This window comes from Homo sapiens, chromosome 20, assembly GCF_000001405.40.
Source record: "Homo sapiens chromosome 20, GRCh38.p14 Primary Assembly".
Classification (NCBI taxonomy): Eukaryota; Metazoa; Chordata; class Mammalia; order Primates; family Hominidae; genus Homo; species Homo sapiens.
The window spans coordinates 64,125,041-64,133,355 of record NC_000020.11 but is presented as its reverse complement, the minus strand read 5'-3'; the positions used below and the strand labels follow the sequence as shown (position 1 = coordinate 64,133,355).

The 8,315-nt window shown below is 45.5% G+C and overlaps 52 annotated features.

The window, feature by feature from the left end:
- Positions 1–1,521: part of a minisatellite, noted in NCBI's record as "B6.7 VNTR, 34 nucleotide repeat", that runs on past the window's edge.
- Positions 1–1,588: part of a repeat instability region, noted in NCBI's record as "repeat instability region; instability of the B7.6 VNTR region has been observed", that runs on past the window's edge. NCBI's record gives the evidence for it as "EXISTENCE:polymerase chain reaction evidence [ECO:0000082][PMID:10196378]".
- Positions 1–2,232: part of a meiotic recombination region, noted in NCBI's record as "meiotic double-strand break mapped by DNA meiotic recombinase 1 chromatin immunoprecipitation followed by single-stranded DNA enrichment and sequencing in the germ cells of some male individuals with the PRDM9 A/A, PRDM9 A/B and PRDM9 A/C genotypes", that runs on past the window's edge. NCBI's record gives the evidence for it as "EXISTENCE:chromatin immunoprecipitation-seq evidence [ECO:0000229][PMID:25395542]".
- Positions 1–4,064: part of a meiotic recombination region, noted in NCBI's record as "this region was identified as a recombination hotspot within the HapMap YRI population", that runs on past the window's edge. NCBI's record gives the evidence for it as "EXISTENCE:nucleotide sequencing assay evidence [ECO:0000219][PMID:20981099]".
- Positions 11–23: a nucleotide motif, noted in NCBI's record as "nucleotide motif; similarity, but not exact identity (7/8 nucleotides) to the predicted 13-mer PRDM9 A binding motif (LD hotspot motif), CCNCCNTNNCCNC". NCBI's record gives the evidence for it as "COORDINATES:motif similarity evidence [ECO:0000028][PMID:19165926]".
- Positions 45–57: a nucleotide motif, noted in NCBI's record as "nucleotide motif; similarity, but not exact identity (7/8 nucleotides) to the predicted 13-mer PRDM9 A binding motif (LD hotspot motif), CCNCCNTNNCCNC". NCBI's record gives the evidence for it as "COORDINATES:motif similarity evidence [ECO:0000028][PMID:19165926]".
- Positions 112–124: a nucleotide motif, noted in NCBI's record as "nucleotide motif; similarity, but not exact identity (7/8 nucleotides) to the predicted 13-mer PRDM9 A binding motif (LD hotspot motif), CCNCCNTNNCCNC". NCBI's record gives the evidence for it as "COORDINATES:motif similarity evidence [ECO:0000028][PMID:19165926]".
- Positions 146–158: a nucleotide motif, noted in NCBI's record as "nucleotide motif; similarity, but not exact identity (7/8 nucleotides) to the predicted 13-mer PRDM9 A binding motif (LD hotspot motif), CCNCCNTNNCCNC". NCBI's record gives the evidence for it as "COORDINATES:motif similarity evidence [ECO:0000028][PMID:19165926]".
- Positions 178–190: a nucleotide motif, noted in NCBI's record as "nucleotide motif; similarity, but not exact identity (7/8 nucleotides) to the predicted 13-mer PRDM9 A binding motif (LD hotspot motif), CCNCCNTNNCCNC". NCBI's record gives the evidence for it as "COORDINATES:motif similarity evidence [ECO:0000028][PMID:19165926]".
- Positions 211–223: a nucleotide motif, noted in NCBI's record as "nucleotide motif; similarity, but not exact identity (7/8 nucleotides) to the predicted 13-mer PRDM9 A binding motif (LD hotspot motif), CCNCCNTNNCCNC". NCBI's record gives the evidence for it as "COORDINATES:motif similarity evidence [ECO:0000028][PMID:19165926]".
- Positions 244–256: a nucleotide motif, noted in NCBI's record as "nucleotide motif; similarity, but not exact identity (7/8 nucleotides) to the predicted 13-mer PRDM9 A binding motif (LD hotspot motif), CCNCCNTNNCCNC". NCBI's record gives the evidence for it as "COORDINATES:motif similarity evidence [ECO:0000028][PMID:19165926]".
- Positions 276–288: a nucleotide motif, noted in NCBI's record as "nucleotide motif; similarity, but not exact identity (7/8 nucleotides) to the predicted 13-mer PRDM9 A binding motif (LD hotspot motif), CCNCCNTNNCCNC". NCBI's record gives the evidence for it as "COORDINATES:motif similarity evidence [ECO:0000028][PMID:19165926]".
- Positions 309–321: a nucleotide motif, noted in NCBI's record as "nucleotide motif; similarity, but not exact identity (7/8 nucleotides) to the predicted 13-mer PRDM9 A binding motif (LD hotspot motif), CCNCCNTNNCCNC". NCBI's record gives the evidence for it as "COORDINATES:motif similarity evidence [ECO:0000028][PMID:19165926]".
- Positions 342–354: a nucleotide motif, noted in NCBI's record as "nucleotide motif; similarity, but not exact identity (7/8 nucleotides) to the predicted 13-mer PRDM9 A binding motif (LD hotspot motif), CCNCCNTNNCCNC". NCBI's record gives the evidence for it as "COORDINATES:motif similarity evidence [ECO:0000028][PMID:19165926]".
- Positions 376–388: a nucleotide motif, noted in NCBI's record as "nucleotide motif; similarity, but not exact identity (7/8 nucleotides) to the predicted 13-mer PRDM9 A binding motif (LD hotspot motif), CCNCCNTNNCCNC". NCBI's record gives the evidence for it as "COORDINATES:motif similarity evidence [ECO:0000028][PMID:19165926]".
- Positions 410–422: a nucleotide motif, noted in NCBI's record as "nucleotide motif; similarity, but not exact identity (7/8 nucleotides) to the predicted 13-mer PRDM9 A binding motif (LD hotspot motif), CCNCCNTNNCCNC". NCBI's record gives the evidence for it as "COORDINATES:motif similarity evidence [ECO:0000028][PMID:19165926]".
- Positions 443–455: a nucleotide motif, noted in NCBI's record as "nucleotide motif; similarity, but not exact identity (7/8 nucleotides) to the predicted 13-mer PRDM9 A binding motif (LD hotspot motif), CCNCCNTNNCCNC". NCBI's record gives the evidence for it as "COORDINATES:motif similarity evidence [ECO:0000028][PMID:19165926]".
- Positions 477–489: a nucleotide motif, noted in NCBI's record as "nucleotide motif; similarity, but not exact identity (7/8 nucleotides) to the predicted 13-mer PRDM9 A binding motif (LD hotspot motif), CCNCCNTNNCCNC". NCBI's record gives the evidence for it as "COORDINATES:motif similarity evidence [ECO:0000028][PMID:19165926]".
- Positions 511–523: a nucleotide motif, noted in NCBI's record as "nucleotide motif; similarity, but not exact identity (7/8 nucleotides) to the predicted 13-mer PRDM9 A binding motif (LD hotspot motif), CCNCCNTNNCCNC". NCBI's record gives the evidence for it as "COORDINATES:motif similarity evidence [ECO:0000028][PMID:19165926]".
- Positions 544–556: a nucleotide motif, noted in NCBI's record as "nucleotide motif; similarity, but not exact identity (7/8 nucleotides) to the predicted 13-mer PRDM9 A binding motif (LD hotspot motif), CCNCCNTNNCCNC". NCBI's record gives the evidence for it as "COORDINATES:motif similarity evidence [ECO:0000028][PMID:19165926]".
- Positions 578–590: a nucleotide motif, noted in NCBI's record as "nucleotide motif; similarity, but not exact identity (7/8 nucleotides) to the predicted 13-mer PRDM9 A binding motif (LD hotspot motif), CCNCCNTNNCCNC". NCBI's record gives the evidence for it as "COORDINATES:motif similarity evidence [ECO:0000028][PMID:19165926]".
- Positions 612–624: a nucleotide motif, noted in NCBI's record as "nucleotide motif; similarity, but not exact identity (7/8 nucleotides) to the predicted 13-mer PRDM9 A binding motif (LD hotspot motif), CCNCCNTNNCCNC". NCBI's record gives the evidence for it as "COORDINATES:motif similarity evidence [ECO:0000028][PMID:19165926]".
- Positions 646–658: a nucleotide motif, noted in NCBI's record as "nucleotide motif; similarity, but not exact identity (7/8 nucleotides) to the predicted 13-mer PRDM9 A binding motif (LD hotspot motif), CCNCCNTNNCCNC". NCBI's record gives the evidence for it as "COORDINATES:motif similarity evidence [ECO:0000028][PMID:19165926]".
- Positions 679–691: a nucleotide motif, noted in NCBI's record as "nucleotide motif; similarity, but not exact identity (7/8 nucleotides) to the predicted 13-mer PRDM9 A binding motif (LD hotspot motif), CCNCCNTNNCCNC". NCBI's record gives the evidence for it as "COORDINATES:motif similarity evidence [ECO:0000028][PMID:19165926]".
- Positions 712–724: a nucleotide motif, noted in NCBI's record as "nucleotide motif; similarity, but not exact identity (7/8 nucleotides) to the predicted 13-mer PRDM9 A binding motif (LD hotspot motif), CCNCCNTNNCCNC". NCBI's record gives the evidence for it as "COORDINATES:motif similarity evidence [ECO:0000028][PMID:19165926]".
- Positions 746–758: a nucleotide motif, noted in NCBI's record as "nucleotide motif; similarity, but not exact identity (7/8 nucleotides) to the predicted 13-mer PRDM9 A binding motif (LD hotspot motif), CCNCCNTNNCCNC". NCBI's record gives the evidence for it as "COORDINATES:motif similarity evidence [ECO:0000028][PMID:19165926]".
- Positions 780–792: a nucleotide motif, noted in NCBI's record as "nucleotide motif; similarity, but not exact identity (7/8 nucleotides) to the predicted 13-mer PRDM9 A binding motif (LD hotspot motif), CCNCCNTNNCCNC". NCBI's record gives the evidence for it as "COORDINATES:motif similarity evidence [ECO:0000028][PMID:19165926]".
- Positions 814–826: a nucleotide motif, noted in NCBI's record as "nucleotide motif; similarity, but not exact identity (7/8 nucleotides) to the predicted 13-mer PRDM9 A binding motif (LD hotspot motif), CCNCCNTNNCCNC". NCBI's record gives the evidence for it as "COORDINATES:motif similarity evidence [ECO:0000028][PMID:19165926]".
- Positions 848–860: a nucleotide motif, noted in NCBI's record as "nucleotide motif; similarity, but not exact identity (7/8 nucleotides) to the predicted 13-mer PRDM9 A binding motif (LD hotspot motif), CCNCCNTNNCCNC". NCBI's record gives the evidence for it as "COORDINATES:motif similarity evidence [ECO:0000028][PMID:19165926]".
- Positions 882–894: a nucleotide motif, noted in NCBI's record as "nucleotide motif; similarity, but not exact identity (7/8 nucleotides) to the predicted 13-mer PRDM9 A binding motif (LD hotspot motif), CCNCCNTNNCCNC". NCBI's record gives the evidence for it as "COORDINATES:motif similarity evidence [ECO:0000028][PMID:19165926]".
- Positions 915–927: a nucleotide motif, noted in NCBI's record as "nucleotide motif; similarity, but not exact identity (7/8 nucleotides) to the predicted 13-mer PRDM9 A binding motif (LD hotspot motif), CCNCCNTNNCCNC". NCBI's record gives the evidence for it as "COORDINATES:motif similarity evidence [ECO:0000028][PMID:19165926]".
- Positions 949–961: a nucleotide motif, noted in NCBI's record as "nucleotide motif; similarity, but not exact identity (7/8 nucleotides) to the predicted 13-mer PRDM9 A binding motif (LD hotspot motif), CCNCCNTNNCCNC". NCBI's record gives the evidence for it as "COORDINATES:motif similarity evidence [ECO:0000028][PMID:19165926]".
- Positions 983–995: a nucleotide motif, noted in NCBI's record as "nucleotide motif; similarity, but not exact identity (7/8 nucleotides) to the predicted 13-mer PRDM9 A binding motif (LD hotspot motif), CCNCCNTNNCCNC". NCBI's record gives the evidence for it as "COORDINATES:motif similarity evidence [ECO:0000028][PMID:19165926]".
- Positions 1,016–1,028: a nucleotide motif, noted in NCBI's record as "nucleotide motif; similarity, but not exact identity (7/8 nucleotides) to the predicted 13-mer PRDM9 A binding motif (LD hotspot motif), CCNCCNTNNCCNC". NCBI's record gives the evidence for it as "COORDINATES:motif similarity evidence [ECO:0000028][PMID:19165926]".
- Positions 1,050–1,062: a nucleotide motif, noted in NCBI's record as "nucleotide motif; similarity, but not exact identity (7/8 nucleotides) to the predicted 13-mer PRDM9 A binding motif (LD hotspot motif), CCNCCNTNNCCNC". NCBI's record gives the evidence for it as "COORDINATES:motif similarity evidence [ECO:0000028][PMID:19165926]".
- Positions 1,084–1,096: a nucleotide motif, noted in NCBI's record as "nucleotide motif; similarity, but not exact identity (7/8 nucleotides) to the predicted 13-mer PRDM9 A binding motif (LD hotspot motif), CCNCCNTNNCCNC". NCBI's record gives the evidence for it as "COORDINATES:motif similarity evidence [ECO:0000028][PMID:19165926]".
- Positions 1,117–1,129: a nucleotide motif, noted in NCBI's record as "nucleotide motif; similarity, but not exact identity (7/8 nucleotides) to the predicted 13-mer PRDM9 A binding motif (LD hotspot motif), CCNCCNTNNCCNC". NCBI's record gives the evidence for it as "COORDINATES:motif similarity evidence [ECO:0000028][PMID:19165926]".
- Positions 1,151–1,163: a nucleotide motif, noted in NCBI's record as "nucleotide motif; similarity, but not exact identity (7/8 nucleotides) to the predicted 13-mer PRDM9 A binding motif (LD hotspot motif), CCNCCNTNNCCNC". NCBI's record gives the evidence for it as "COORDINATES:motif similarity evidence [ECO:0000028][PMID:19165926]".
- Positions 1,185–1,197: a nucleotide motif, noted in NCBI's record as "nucleotide motif; similarity, but not exact identity (7/8 nucleotides) to the predicted 13-mer PRDM9 A binding motif (LD hotspot motif), CCNCCNTNNCCNC". NCBI's record gives the evidence for it as "COORDINATES:motif similarity evidence [ECO:0000028][PMID:19165926]".
- Positions 1,219–1,231: a nucleotide motif, noted in NCBI's record as "nucleotide motif; similarity, but not exact identity (7/8 nucleotides) to the predicted 13-mer PRDM9 A binding motif (LD hotspot motif), CCNCCNTNNCCNC". NCBI's record gives the evidence for it as "COORDINATES:motif similarity evidence [ECO:0000028][PMID:19165926]".
- Positions 1,253–1,265: a nucleotide motif, noted in NCBI's record as "nucleotide motif; similarity, but not exact identity (7/8 nucleotides) to the predicted 13-mer PRDM9 A binding motif (LD hotspot motif), CCNCCNTNNCCNC". NCBI's record gives the evidence for it as "COORDINATES:motif similarity evidence [ECO:0000028][PMID:19165926]".
- Positions 1,286–1,298: a nucleotide motif, noted in NCBI's record as "nucleotide motif; similarity, but not exact identity (7/8 nucleotides) to the predicted 13-mer PRDM9 A binding motif (LD hotspot motif), CCNCCNTNNCCNC". NCBI's record gives the evidence for it as "COORDINATES:motif similarity evidence [ECO:0000028][PMID:19165926]".
- Positions 1,320–1,332: a nucleotide motif, noted in NCBI's record as "nucleotide motif; similarity, but not exact identity (7/8 nucleotides) to the predicted 13-mer PRDM9 A binding motif (LD hotspot motif), CCNCCNTNNCCNC". NCBI's record gives the evidence for it as "COORDINATES:motif similarity evidence [ECO:0000028][PMID:19165926]".
- Positions 1,354–1,366: a nucleotide motif, noted in NCBI's record as "nucleotide motif; similarity, but not exact identity (7/8 nucleotides) to the predicted 13-mer PRDM9 A binding motif (LD hotspot motif), CCNCCNTNNCCNC". NCBI's record gives the evidence for it as "COORDINATES:motif similarity evidence [ECO:0000028][PMID:19165926]".
- Positions 1,388–1,400: a nucleotide motif, noted in NCBI's record as "nucleotide motif; similarity, but not exact identity (7/8 nucleotides) to the predicted 13-mer PRDM9 A binding motif (LD hotspot motif), CCNCCNTNNCCNC". NCBI's record gives the evidence for it as "COORDINATES:motif similarity evidence [ECO:0000028][PMID:19165926]".
- Positions 1,422–1,434: a nucleotide motif, noted in NCBI's record as "nucleotide motif; similarity, but not exact identity (7/8 nucleotides) to the predicted 13-mer PRDM9 A binding motif (LD hotspot motif), CCNCCNTNNCCNC". NCBI's record gives the evidence for it as "COORDINATES:motif similarity evidence [ECO:0000028][PMID:19165926]".
- Positions 1,456–1,468: a nucleotide motif, noted in NCBI's record as "nucleotide motif; similarity, but not exact identity (7/8 nucleotides) to the predicted 13-mer PRDM9 A binding motif (LD hotspot motif), CCNCCNTNNCCNC". NCBI's record gives the evidence for it as "COORDINATES:motif similarity evidence [ECO:0000028][PMID:19165926]".
- Positions 1,490–1,502: a nucleotide motif, noted in NCBI's record as "nucleotide motif; similarity, but not exact identity (7/8 nucleotides) to the predicted 13-mer PRDM9 A binding motif (LD hotspot motif), CCNCCNTNNCCNC". NCBI's record gives the evidence for it as "COORDINATES:motif similarity evidence [ECO:0000028][PMID:19165926]".
- Positions 1,812–1,827: a nucleotide motif, noted in NCBI's record as "nucleotide motif; similarity to the predicted 16-mer PRDM9 C binding motif, CCNCNNTNNNCNTNNC".
- Positions 3,001–3,013: a nucleotide motif, noted in NCBI's record as "nucleotide motif; similarity to the predicted 13-mer PRDM9 A binding motif (LD hotspot motif), CCNCCNTNNCCNC".
- Positions 3,764–3,776: a nucleotide motif, noted in NCBI's record as "nucleotide motif; similarity to the predicted 13-mer PRDM9 A binding motif (LD hotspot motif), CCNCCNTNNCCNC".
- Positions 3,944–3,956: a nucleotide motif, noted in NCBI's record as "nucleotide motif; similarity to the predicted 13-mer PRDM9 A binding motif (LD hotspot motif), CCNCCNTNNCCNC".

The following is an 8,315-nucleotide window of genomic DNA, read 5'->3' as shown; positions in this document are numbered from 1 at the left end:
GGACATGAGGGTGGACAGTGAGGGGGTCTCTATAGGACATGAGGGTGGACAGTGAGGGGGTCTCATAGGACATGAGAGTTGACAGTGAGGGGGTCTCTACAGGCCATGAGGGTGGACAGTGAGGGGGTCTCTATAGGACATGAGGGTGGACAGTGAGGGGTCTCATAGGACATGAGAGTGGACAGTGAGGGGGTCTCATAGGACATGAGGGTGGACAGTGAGGGGGTCTCATAGGACATGAGGGTGGACAGTGAGGGGTCTCATAGGACATGAGGGTGGACAGTGAGGGGGTCTCATAGGACATGAGGGTGGACAGTGAGGGGGTCTCATAGGACATGAGGGTGGACAGTGAGGGGGTCTCTATAGGACATGAGGGTGGACAGTGAGGGGGTCTCTACAGGACATGAGGGTGGACAGTGAGGGGGTCTCATAGGACATGAGGGCGGACAGTGAGGGGGTCTCTACAGGCCATGAGGGTGGACAGTGAGGGGGTCTCTATAGGACATGAGGGTGGACAGTGAGGGGGTCTCATAGGACATGAGGGCGGACAGTGAGGGGGTCTCTATAGGACATGAGGGTGGACAGTGAGGGGGTCTCTATAGGACACGAGGGTGGACAGTGAGGGGGTCTCTATAGGACATGAGGGTGGACAGTGAGGGGGTCTCATAGGACATGAGGGTGGACAGTGAGGGGGTCTCATAGGCCATGAGGGTGGACAGTGAGGGGGTCTCTACAGGCCATGAGGGTGGACAGTGAGGGGGTCTCTATAGGACATGAGGGTGGACAGTGAGGGGGTCTCTACAGGCCATGAGGGTGGACAGTGAGGGGGTCTCTATAGGCCATGAGGGTGGACAGTGAGGGGGTCTCTATAGGCCATGAGAGTGGACAGTGAGGGGGTCTCATAGGCCATGAGGGTGGACAGTGAGGGGGTCTCTATAGGACATGAGAGTGGACAGTGAGGGGGTCTCTATAGGACATGAGGGTGGACAGTGAGGGGGTCTCATAGGACATGAGGGTGGACAGTGAGGGGGTCTCTATAGGACATGAGGGTGGACAGTGAGGGGGTCTCTATAGGACACGAGGGTGGACAGTGAGGGGGTCTCATAGGACATGAGGGTGGACAGTGAGGGGGTCTCTACAGGACATGAGGGTGGACAGTGAGGGGGTCTCTATAGGACATGAGGGTGGACAGTGAGGGGGTCTCTATAGGACATGAGGGTGGACAGTGAGGGGGTCTCTATAGGACACGAGGGTGGACAGTGAGGGGGTCTCATAGGACATGAGGGTGGACAGTGAGGGGGTCTCTACAGGCCATGAGGGTGGACAGTGAGGGGGTCTCTATAGGACATGAGGGTGGACAGTGAGGGGGTCTCTATAGGACATGAGGGTGGACAGTGAGGGGGTCTCTACAGGCCATGAGGGTGGACAGTGAGGGGGTCTCTATAGGCCATGAGAGTGGACAGTGAGGGGGTCTCTACAGGACATGAGGGTGGACAGTGAGGGGGTCTCATAGGACATGAGAGAGGCCAGGAGAAGTCTGGGACAGGGGAGGCTGTGACCCCCACCAGGTCCCCTAAACCTGGGCTCAGTGTGGAGTCTCAGCCTCACCCTCATGGGCTGCCCAGCCCCTCCTGGCCCACCTACAACAGCCTGCACCCCTGTGAACAACTATCCACAGCCCAGCAGCTATCCTCATTTTGTCTCATGCCCAGCCCAGAGCACATGCCCAGCTAAACACAGAGCAGCACAGTACCAGTGTGGCCACCAGATGGCCCAGATCATCTGCTTCCCAGGGTAGCACTGCAGGGCATCCACACTGGGCATGTCCACCCCTAGCGTGTCAATACTCCAGTGCCTCTACGTACACACGCACACGCCTGGATACTCCAGTGCCTCTATGCACACACATGAACATGCCTGGATACTCCAGTGTGTCTACTCACACACATGAACACGCCTGGATACTCCAGTGCCTCTACTCACACACGCACACGACTAGATACTCCAGTGCCTCTACTCACACACATGAACACGCCTGGATACTCCAGTGCCTCTACTCACACACACACACGACTAGATACTCCAGTGCCTCTACTCACACACGCACACGCCTGGATACTCCAGTGCCTCTACTCACACACGCACACGCCTGGATACTCCAGTGTACTCCAGTGCCTCTACTCACACACATGAACATGCCTGGATACTCCAGTGCCTCTACGCACACACATGCACACACCTGGAGCCCAGGATTGCCAGTGGCCATTGCCATCGCCCTTGTGCTGAACAAGAAAGCGTCAGTGGTCCAGGACAAATGCACCAAAATTCCACCTTTAACATCCAGCATAGTCTTCCACTCGACCTCTTGTTCTTCCTGAGTGACCCCTGCCAGGAGGCGCAGAGGCCCCACTGGCCTCCCCAGAAGCGGGCATGCCTCTGTCACACTCACCCTGTTCTCTGTTCTCAGGCCCAGGGGTTAAAACCAACACAAGTTAAATAAAACCTCTGGCCTGAGGGTCATAGTTTCGTCTTCAAAATGTGTGCTTTAACCTTTTCCAGAATTAGGCTTTTTAAAGAAGCCTCCCATTGCCTTTAGGAAAACAGTTCAAAGGTTCTCCATGACCCAGCACCTCCTTCCCCTACCCCCCATTCCTGGGACATCTGCGTGTGTGGTTTCCTCTGTCTGGAGCAGCCCCTTCCACGCACACTGCATGGTCTCTTAGGGCTCCATAATAAAGGACCACAGACTGGCTTAAACAATAGAAAATTATTCTCTTAGTTCTGGAGGCCGGAAGTCTGGAATCCAGTATTGTCAGGGCTGCATTCCCTCCGAAGACTCCAGGGATGACCGTTCCTCACCTCCTCTAGTTTCTGGCAATCCTGGATGCTCCCTGGCTCACAGACGCATCCCTCCAGCCTCCACCACTTCTGTCTTCACACAGCACTGTCCTCTGCATCTTCTGTGTCCAAATTTCCCTCTTCTTGTAAGGACACCCAAGTCCACCATGGCCTCAAATGGACTAATTAAATCTGCAAAGACCCCACTTCCAAACAAGGTCACACTCACAGGTGCTGGGGGTTGAGACTCCAACTTTTTTTTTTTTTTTTTTTTGACGGAGTCTCACTCTGTCGCCAGGCTGCAGTGCAGTGGCACAATCACGGTTCACTGCAACCCCCGCCTCCCGTGTTCAAGTGATTCTTCAGCCTCAGCCTCCCGAGTAGCTGGGACTACAGGCGCCTGCCACCTCACCCGGCTAATTTTTGTATTTTTTTAGTAGAGACGGGGTTTCATTATGTTGGCCACGATGGTCTCGATCTCTTGACCTCGTGATCCACCCGCCTCAGCCTCCCAAAGTGCCGCGATTACAGGCGTGAGCCACCGCGCCCGGCTGAGGCTCCAACATATCTTTTAGGAGACACAACTCAACCCCCAACAATAATGAATGAAGAAGCCTGTTGAGCGTTAGGAGCCCAGTTCCAAGGAGGACCCAAACCACGATCGACAATCCAGGGTGTGAAATAGACATCCACAAAACACTCATCTACTTCATTCCTCTGGACAAAACTCCTTTGCAGTTCTAGAACAAGAATTGTTTGCGTTACTATCAGTTTTCTGCAATTGTCCCACCAAAGGGGCTGCTCCGGCTCTGGCTGAGCATCCTCCACCCTCTCCAACCTTTGGCCACCAAGTGTCCCCAAGCCCCTGGGATGCTCCCCATCACCAGTTTGGCCAGGTCCCACTGGCCTGGATCTTCCCACATGTGTGGTGATGGAGGAGGCTCAGAGGGGTCTGTGGAACGGGACTTAACAGGTCTCAAGTGTCTCAAACTAATCTGGGCCCCCAAGGTGGCTGACTGAGGTCTCAGCTGCTTCCCAGTGGGGCAGACGGAGCATGAAGCTCTAAGAGCAGCACCCGTGGTCATGCCCTGCATCTCAGACAGGAGGGGAGACGGTGGAGTGGCATCTGGGCAGGTGCCTGGAGCCAGGAGGGACAGTAGATGCGGGAGGTGTGACACACCAGGCAGGAGCCTGAGGGTGGCCAGACAGACCAGGACCAAGCAGGGGCCAACGCAGCACAAGGGGCTCCAGGAACGAACAGCCAGAGGGGCTGTGATTTGAGTGAAGGTGTCATCCCTGGAGTGTGGGGAGTTCAAGACCAGCCTGGGCAACATGGCGAGACCCCGTCTCTACTAAAAATTAAAAATTAGCCAGGTGTGGTGGCTCACACTTCTGGTCCAGCTACTTGGAAGGCTGAGATGGGAGGATCACTTTGCCAGACGTTGAGGCTACAATGAGCCCTGATGTGACCCACGCCACTCCTGCCTGGGCAACAGAGCAAGACTCTGTCTCCAAAAAGAAAAGAATGCCAATTTCACAGAACTCTTTGAGGAAACTGAAGAAGAGGGACTGTCTCCCAACTCATTCATTGAGGCCAAGATTACTCTGATACCAAAAGCACCACAAGAAAAAAAATTACAGACCAATATCCCTCATAAACACAGATGCAAAAATTATTAACAACATTTTAGTAAATCAAAATCCATCAATATTTGAAAAAATACTATAATATGACCAAGCAGAGTTTATTCCAGAATGCAAGGTTAGTTTAACAAAATCAGTGTGATTCGTTATATTAACAAACTAAAAAAGGAAACACATGATTATCATAATAGACGCAGAAAAAGCATTTGACAAAATCTAAAATCCATCCCTCATAAAGACTCTCAGCAAACTAGGAATAGGAGAATGTGTCAGCCTGATATGAAAAACCCAAGTTAAATCTTAATCCATGTCTCTCCTCAGAGCAAGACGGAGGCAAGGATGTTCAATTCTACTCAACATTGTACTGGACACTCTAACCAAACCAATAAGGCAAGAAAAAGAAATAAAAGGTGTCCAGGTTAGAAATAAAAAATTGTCTAATTCACAGACATGATCATCTGTGTAGAAAGTTGGGTATAATCCACAAAAAAGCTACTAGAACTAATAAGCAACTTCAGCAAAGTTTCAGGATACAAAATCAATACACAAAAATCTATGGGATTTCTATATCCTAGAAACGAATAATCAAATGAACATTTTTAAAAACAATGCTATTTATAATAGCATCAAAAAATGAAATACCTAGAAATACAACTGACAGAAGCCATACATTAAAAACCGTAAAACTGCTGAGAGAAATTAAAGATGTAAATAGGAGTTATGCTGTGTTCATGCATCAGAAAACTCCATATGCCGATTCTACCCAAACTCATCTATAGATTTAATGCAATTAAAATTGCAAGAGGCTTTTTTCTGGAAATTAACAAACTGATTCCAAAATTTGCATAGAAATTTGCAAAGAACCTATAATCCCCTAACAACTTTGAAAAATGAAGTTAGAGGGACTGACACTACCTGACCTCAAAACAGAGTATAAAGCTATAGTAATCAAGACAGTGTGGTATTTGAGTATAAAGCTATAGTAATCAAGACAGTGTAGTATTTGAGTATAAAGCTGTGGTAATCAAGACAGTGTAGTATTTGAGTATAAAGCTGTGTTAATCAAGACAGTGTAGTATTTGAGTATAAAGCTGTAGTAATCAAGACAGTGTGGTATTTGAGTATAAAGCTGTAGTAATCAAGACAGTGTGGTATTTGAGTATAAAGCTATAGTAATCAAGACAGTGTGGTATTTGAGTATAAAGCTGTGGTAATCAAGACAGTGTGGTATTTGAGTATAAAGCTGTGGTAATCAAGACAGTGTGGTATTTGAGTACAAAGCTATAGTAATCAAGACAGTGTAGTATTTGAGTATAAAGCTGTGGTAATCAAGACAGTGTAGTATTTGAGTATAAAGCTATAGTAATCAAGACAGTGTGGTATTTGAGTATAAAGCTATAGTAATCAAGACAGTGTAGTATTTGAGTATAAAGCTGTGGTAATCAAGACAGTGTAGTATTTGAGTATAAAGCTGTGTTAATCAAGACAGTGTGGTATTTGAGTATAAAGCTGTAGTAATCAAGACAGTGTGGTATTTGAGTATAAAGCTATAGTAATCAAGACAGTGTGGTATTTGAGTATAAAGCTGTGGTAATCAAGACAGTGTGGTATTTGAGTATAAAGCTGTGGTAATCAAGACAGTGTGGTATTTGAGTATAAAGCTGTGGTAATCAAGACAGTGTGGTATTTGAGTATAAAGCTATAGTAATCAAGACAGTGTAGTATTTGAGTATAAAGCTGTGGTAATCAAGACAGTGTAGTATTTGAGTATAAAGCTATAGTAATCAAGACAGTGTGGTATTTGAGTATAAAGCTATAGTAATCAAGACAGTGTAGTATTTGAGTATAAAGCTGTGGTAATCAAGACAGTGTAGTATTTGAGTATAAAGCTGTGTTAATCAAGACAGTGTAGTATTTGAGTATAAAGCTGTAGTAATCAAGACAGTGTGGTATTTGAGTATAAAGCTGTAGTAATCAAGACAGTGTGGTATTTGAGTATAAAGCTATAGTAATCAAGACAGTGTGGTATTTGCGTATAAAGCTGTGGTAATCAAGACAGTGTGGTATTTGAGTATAAAGCTATAGTAATCAAGACAGTGTGGTATTTGAGTATAAAGCTGTGGTAATCAAGACAGTGTGGTATTTGAGTATACAGCTGTGGTAATCAAGACAGTGTGGTATTTGAGTATACAGCTGTGGTAATCAAGACGGTGTGGTATTTGAGTATAAAGCTGTGGTAATCAAGACAGTGTAGTATTTGAGTATAAAGCTGTGGTAATCAAGACAGTGTGGTATTTGAGTATAAAGCTGTAGTAATCAGACAGTGTAGTATTTGAGTATAAAGCTGTGGTAATCAAGACAGTGTGGTATTTGAGTATAAAGCTGTAGTAATCAGACAGTGTAGTATTTGAGTATAAAGCTATAGTAATCAAGACAGTGTGTTATTTGAGTATAAAGCTGTGGTAATCAAGACGGTGTAGTATTTGAGTATAAAGCTGTGGTAATCAAGACGGTGTAGTATTTGAGTATACAGCTGTGGTAATCAAGACGGTGTGGTATTTGAGTATAAAGCTGTAGTAATCAAGACAGTGTAGTATTTGAGTATAAAGCTGTGGTAATCAAGACGGTGTGGTATTTGAGTATAAAGCTGTAGTAATCAGACAGTGTAGTATTTGAGTATAAAGCTGTAGTAATCAAGATAGTGTGGTATTTGAGTATAAAGCTGTAGTAATCAGACAGTGTAGTATTTGAGTATAAAGCTATAGTAATCAAGACAGTGTAGTATTTGAGTATAAAGCTGTGGTAATCAAGACAGTGTGGTATTTGAGTATAAAGCTGTAGTAATCAGACAGTGTAGTATTTGAGTATAAAGCTATAGTAATCAAGACAGTGTGGTATTTGAGTATAAAGCTGTGGTAATCAAGACGGTGTAGTATTTGAGTATAAAGCTGTGGTAATCAAGACGGTGTAGTATTTGAGTATACAGCTGTGGTAATCAAGACGGTGTGGTATTTGAGTATAAAGCTGTAGTAATCAGGACAGTAGTATTTGAGTATACAGCTGTGGTAATCAAGACGGTGTGGTATTTGAGTATAAAGCTGTGGTAATCAAGACAGGGTGGTATTTGAGTATAAAGCTGTAGTAATCAGACAGTGTAGTATTTGAGTATAAAGCTATAGTAATCAAGACAGTGTAGTATTTGAGTATAAAGCTATAGTAATCAAGACAGTGTAGTATTTGAGTATAAAGCTGTGGTAATCAAGACAGTGTGGTATTTGAGTATAAAGCTATAGGAATCAAGACAGTGTAGTATTTGAGTATAAAGCTGTGGTAATCAAGACAGTGTGGTATTTGAGTATAAAGCTGTGGTAATCAAGACGGTGTAGTATTTGAGTATAAAGCTGTGGTAATCAAGACGGTGTGTTATTTGAGTATAAAGCTGTGGTAATCAAGACAGTGTGGTATTTGAGTATAAAGCTTTGGTAATCAAGACGGTGTGGTATTTGAGTATACAGCTGTGGTAATCAAGACGGTGTGGTATTTGAGTATAAAGCTGTAGTAATCAAGATGGTGTAGTATTTGAGTATAAAGCTGTAGTAATCAAGACAGTGTAGTATTTGAGCCAGGCATGGTGGCTGACACCTGTAATCCCAGCACTGCTACTAAAAAAACAAAACAAAAAAAAAAAACTAGCAAAGTGTGTCCGGGCGCAGTGGCTCACACCTGTAATCCCAGCACTTTGGGAGGCCAAGGTGGGTGGATCATGAGGTCAGGAAATCGAGACCATCCTGGCTAACACAGTGAAACCTCATCTCTACTGAAAATACAAAAAA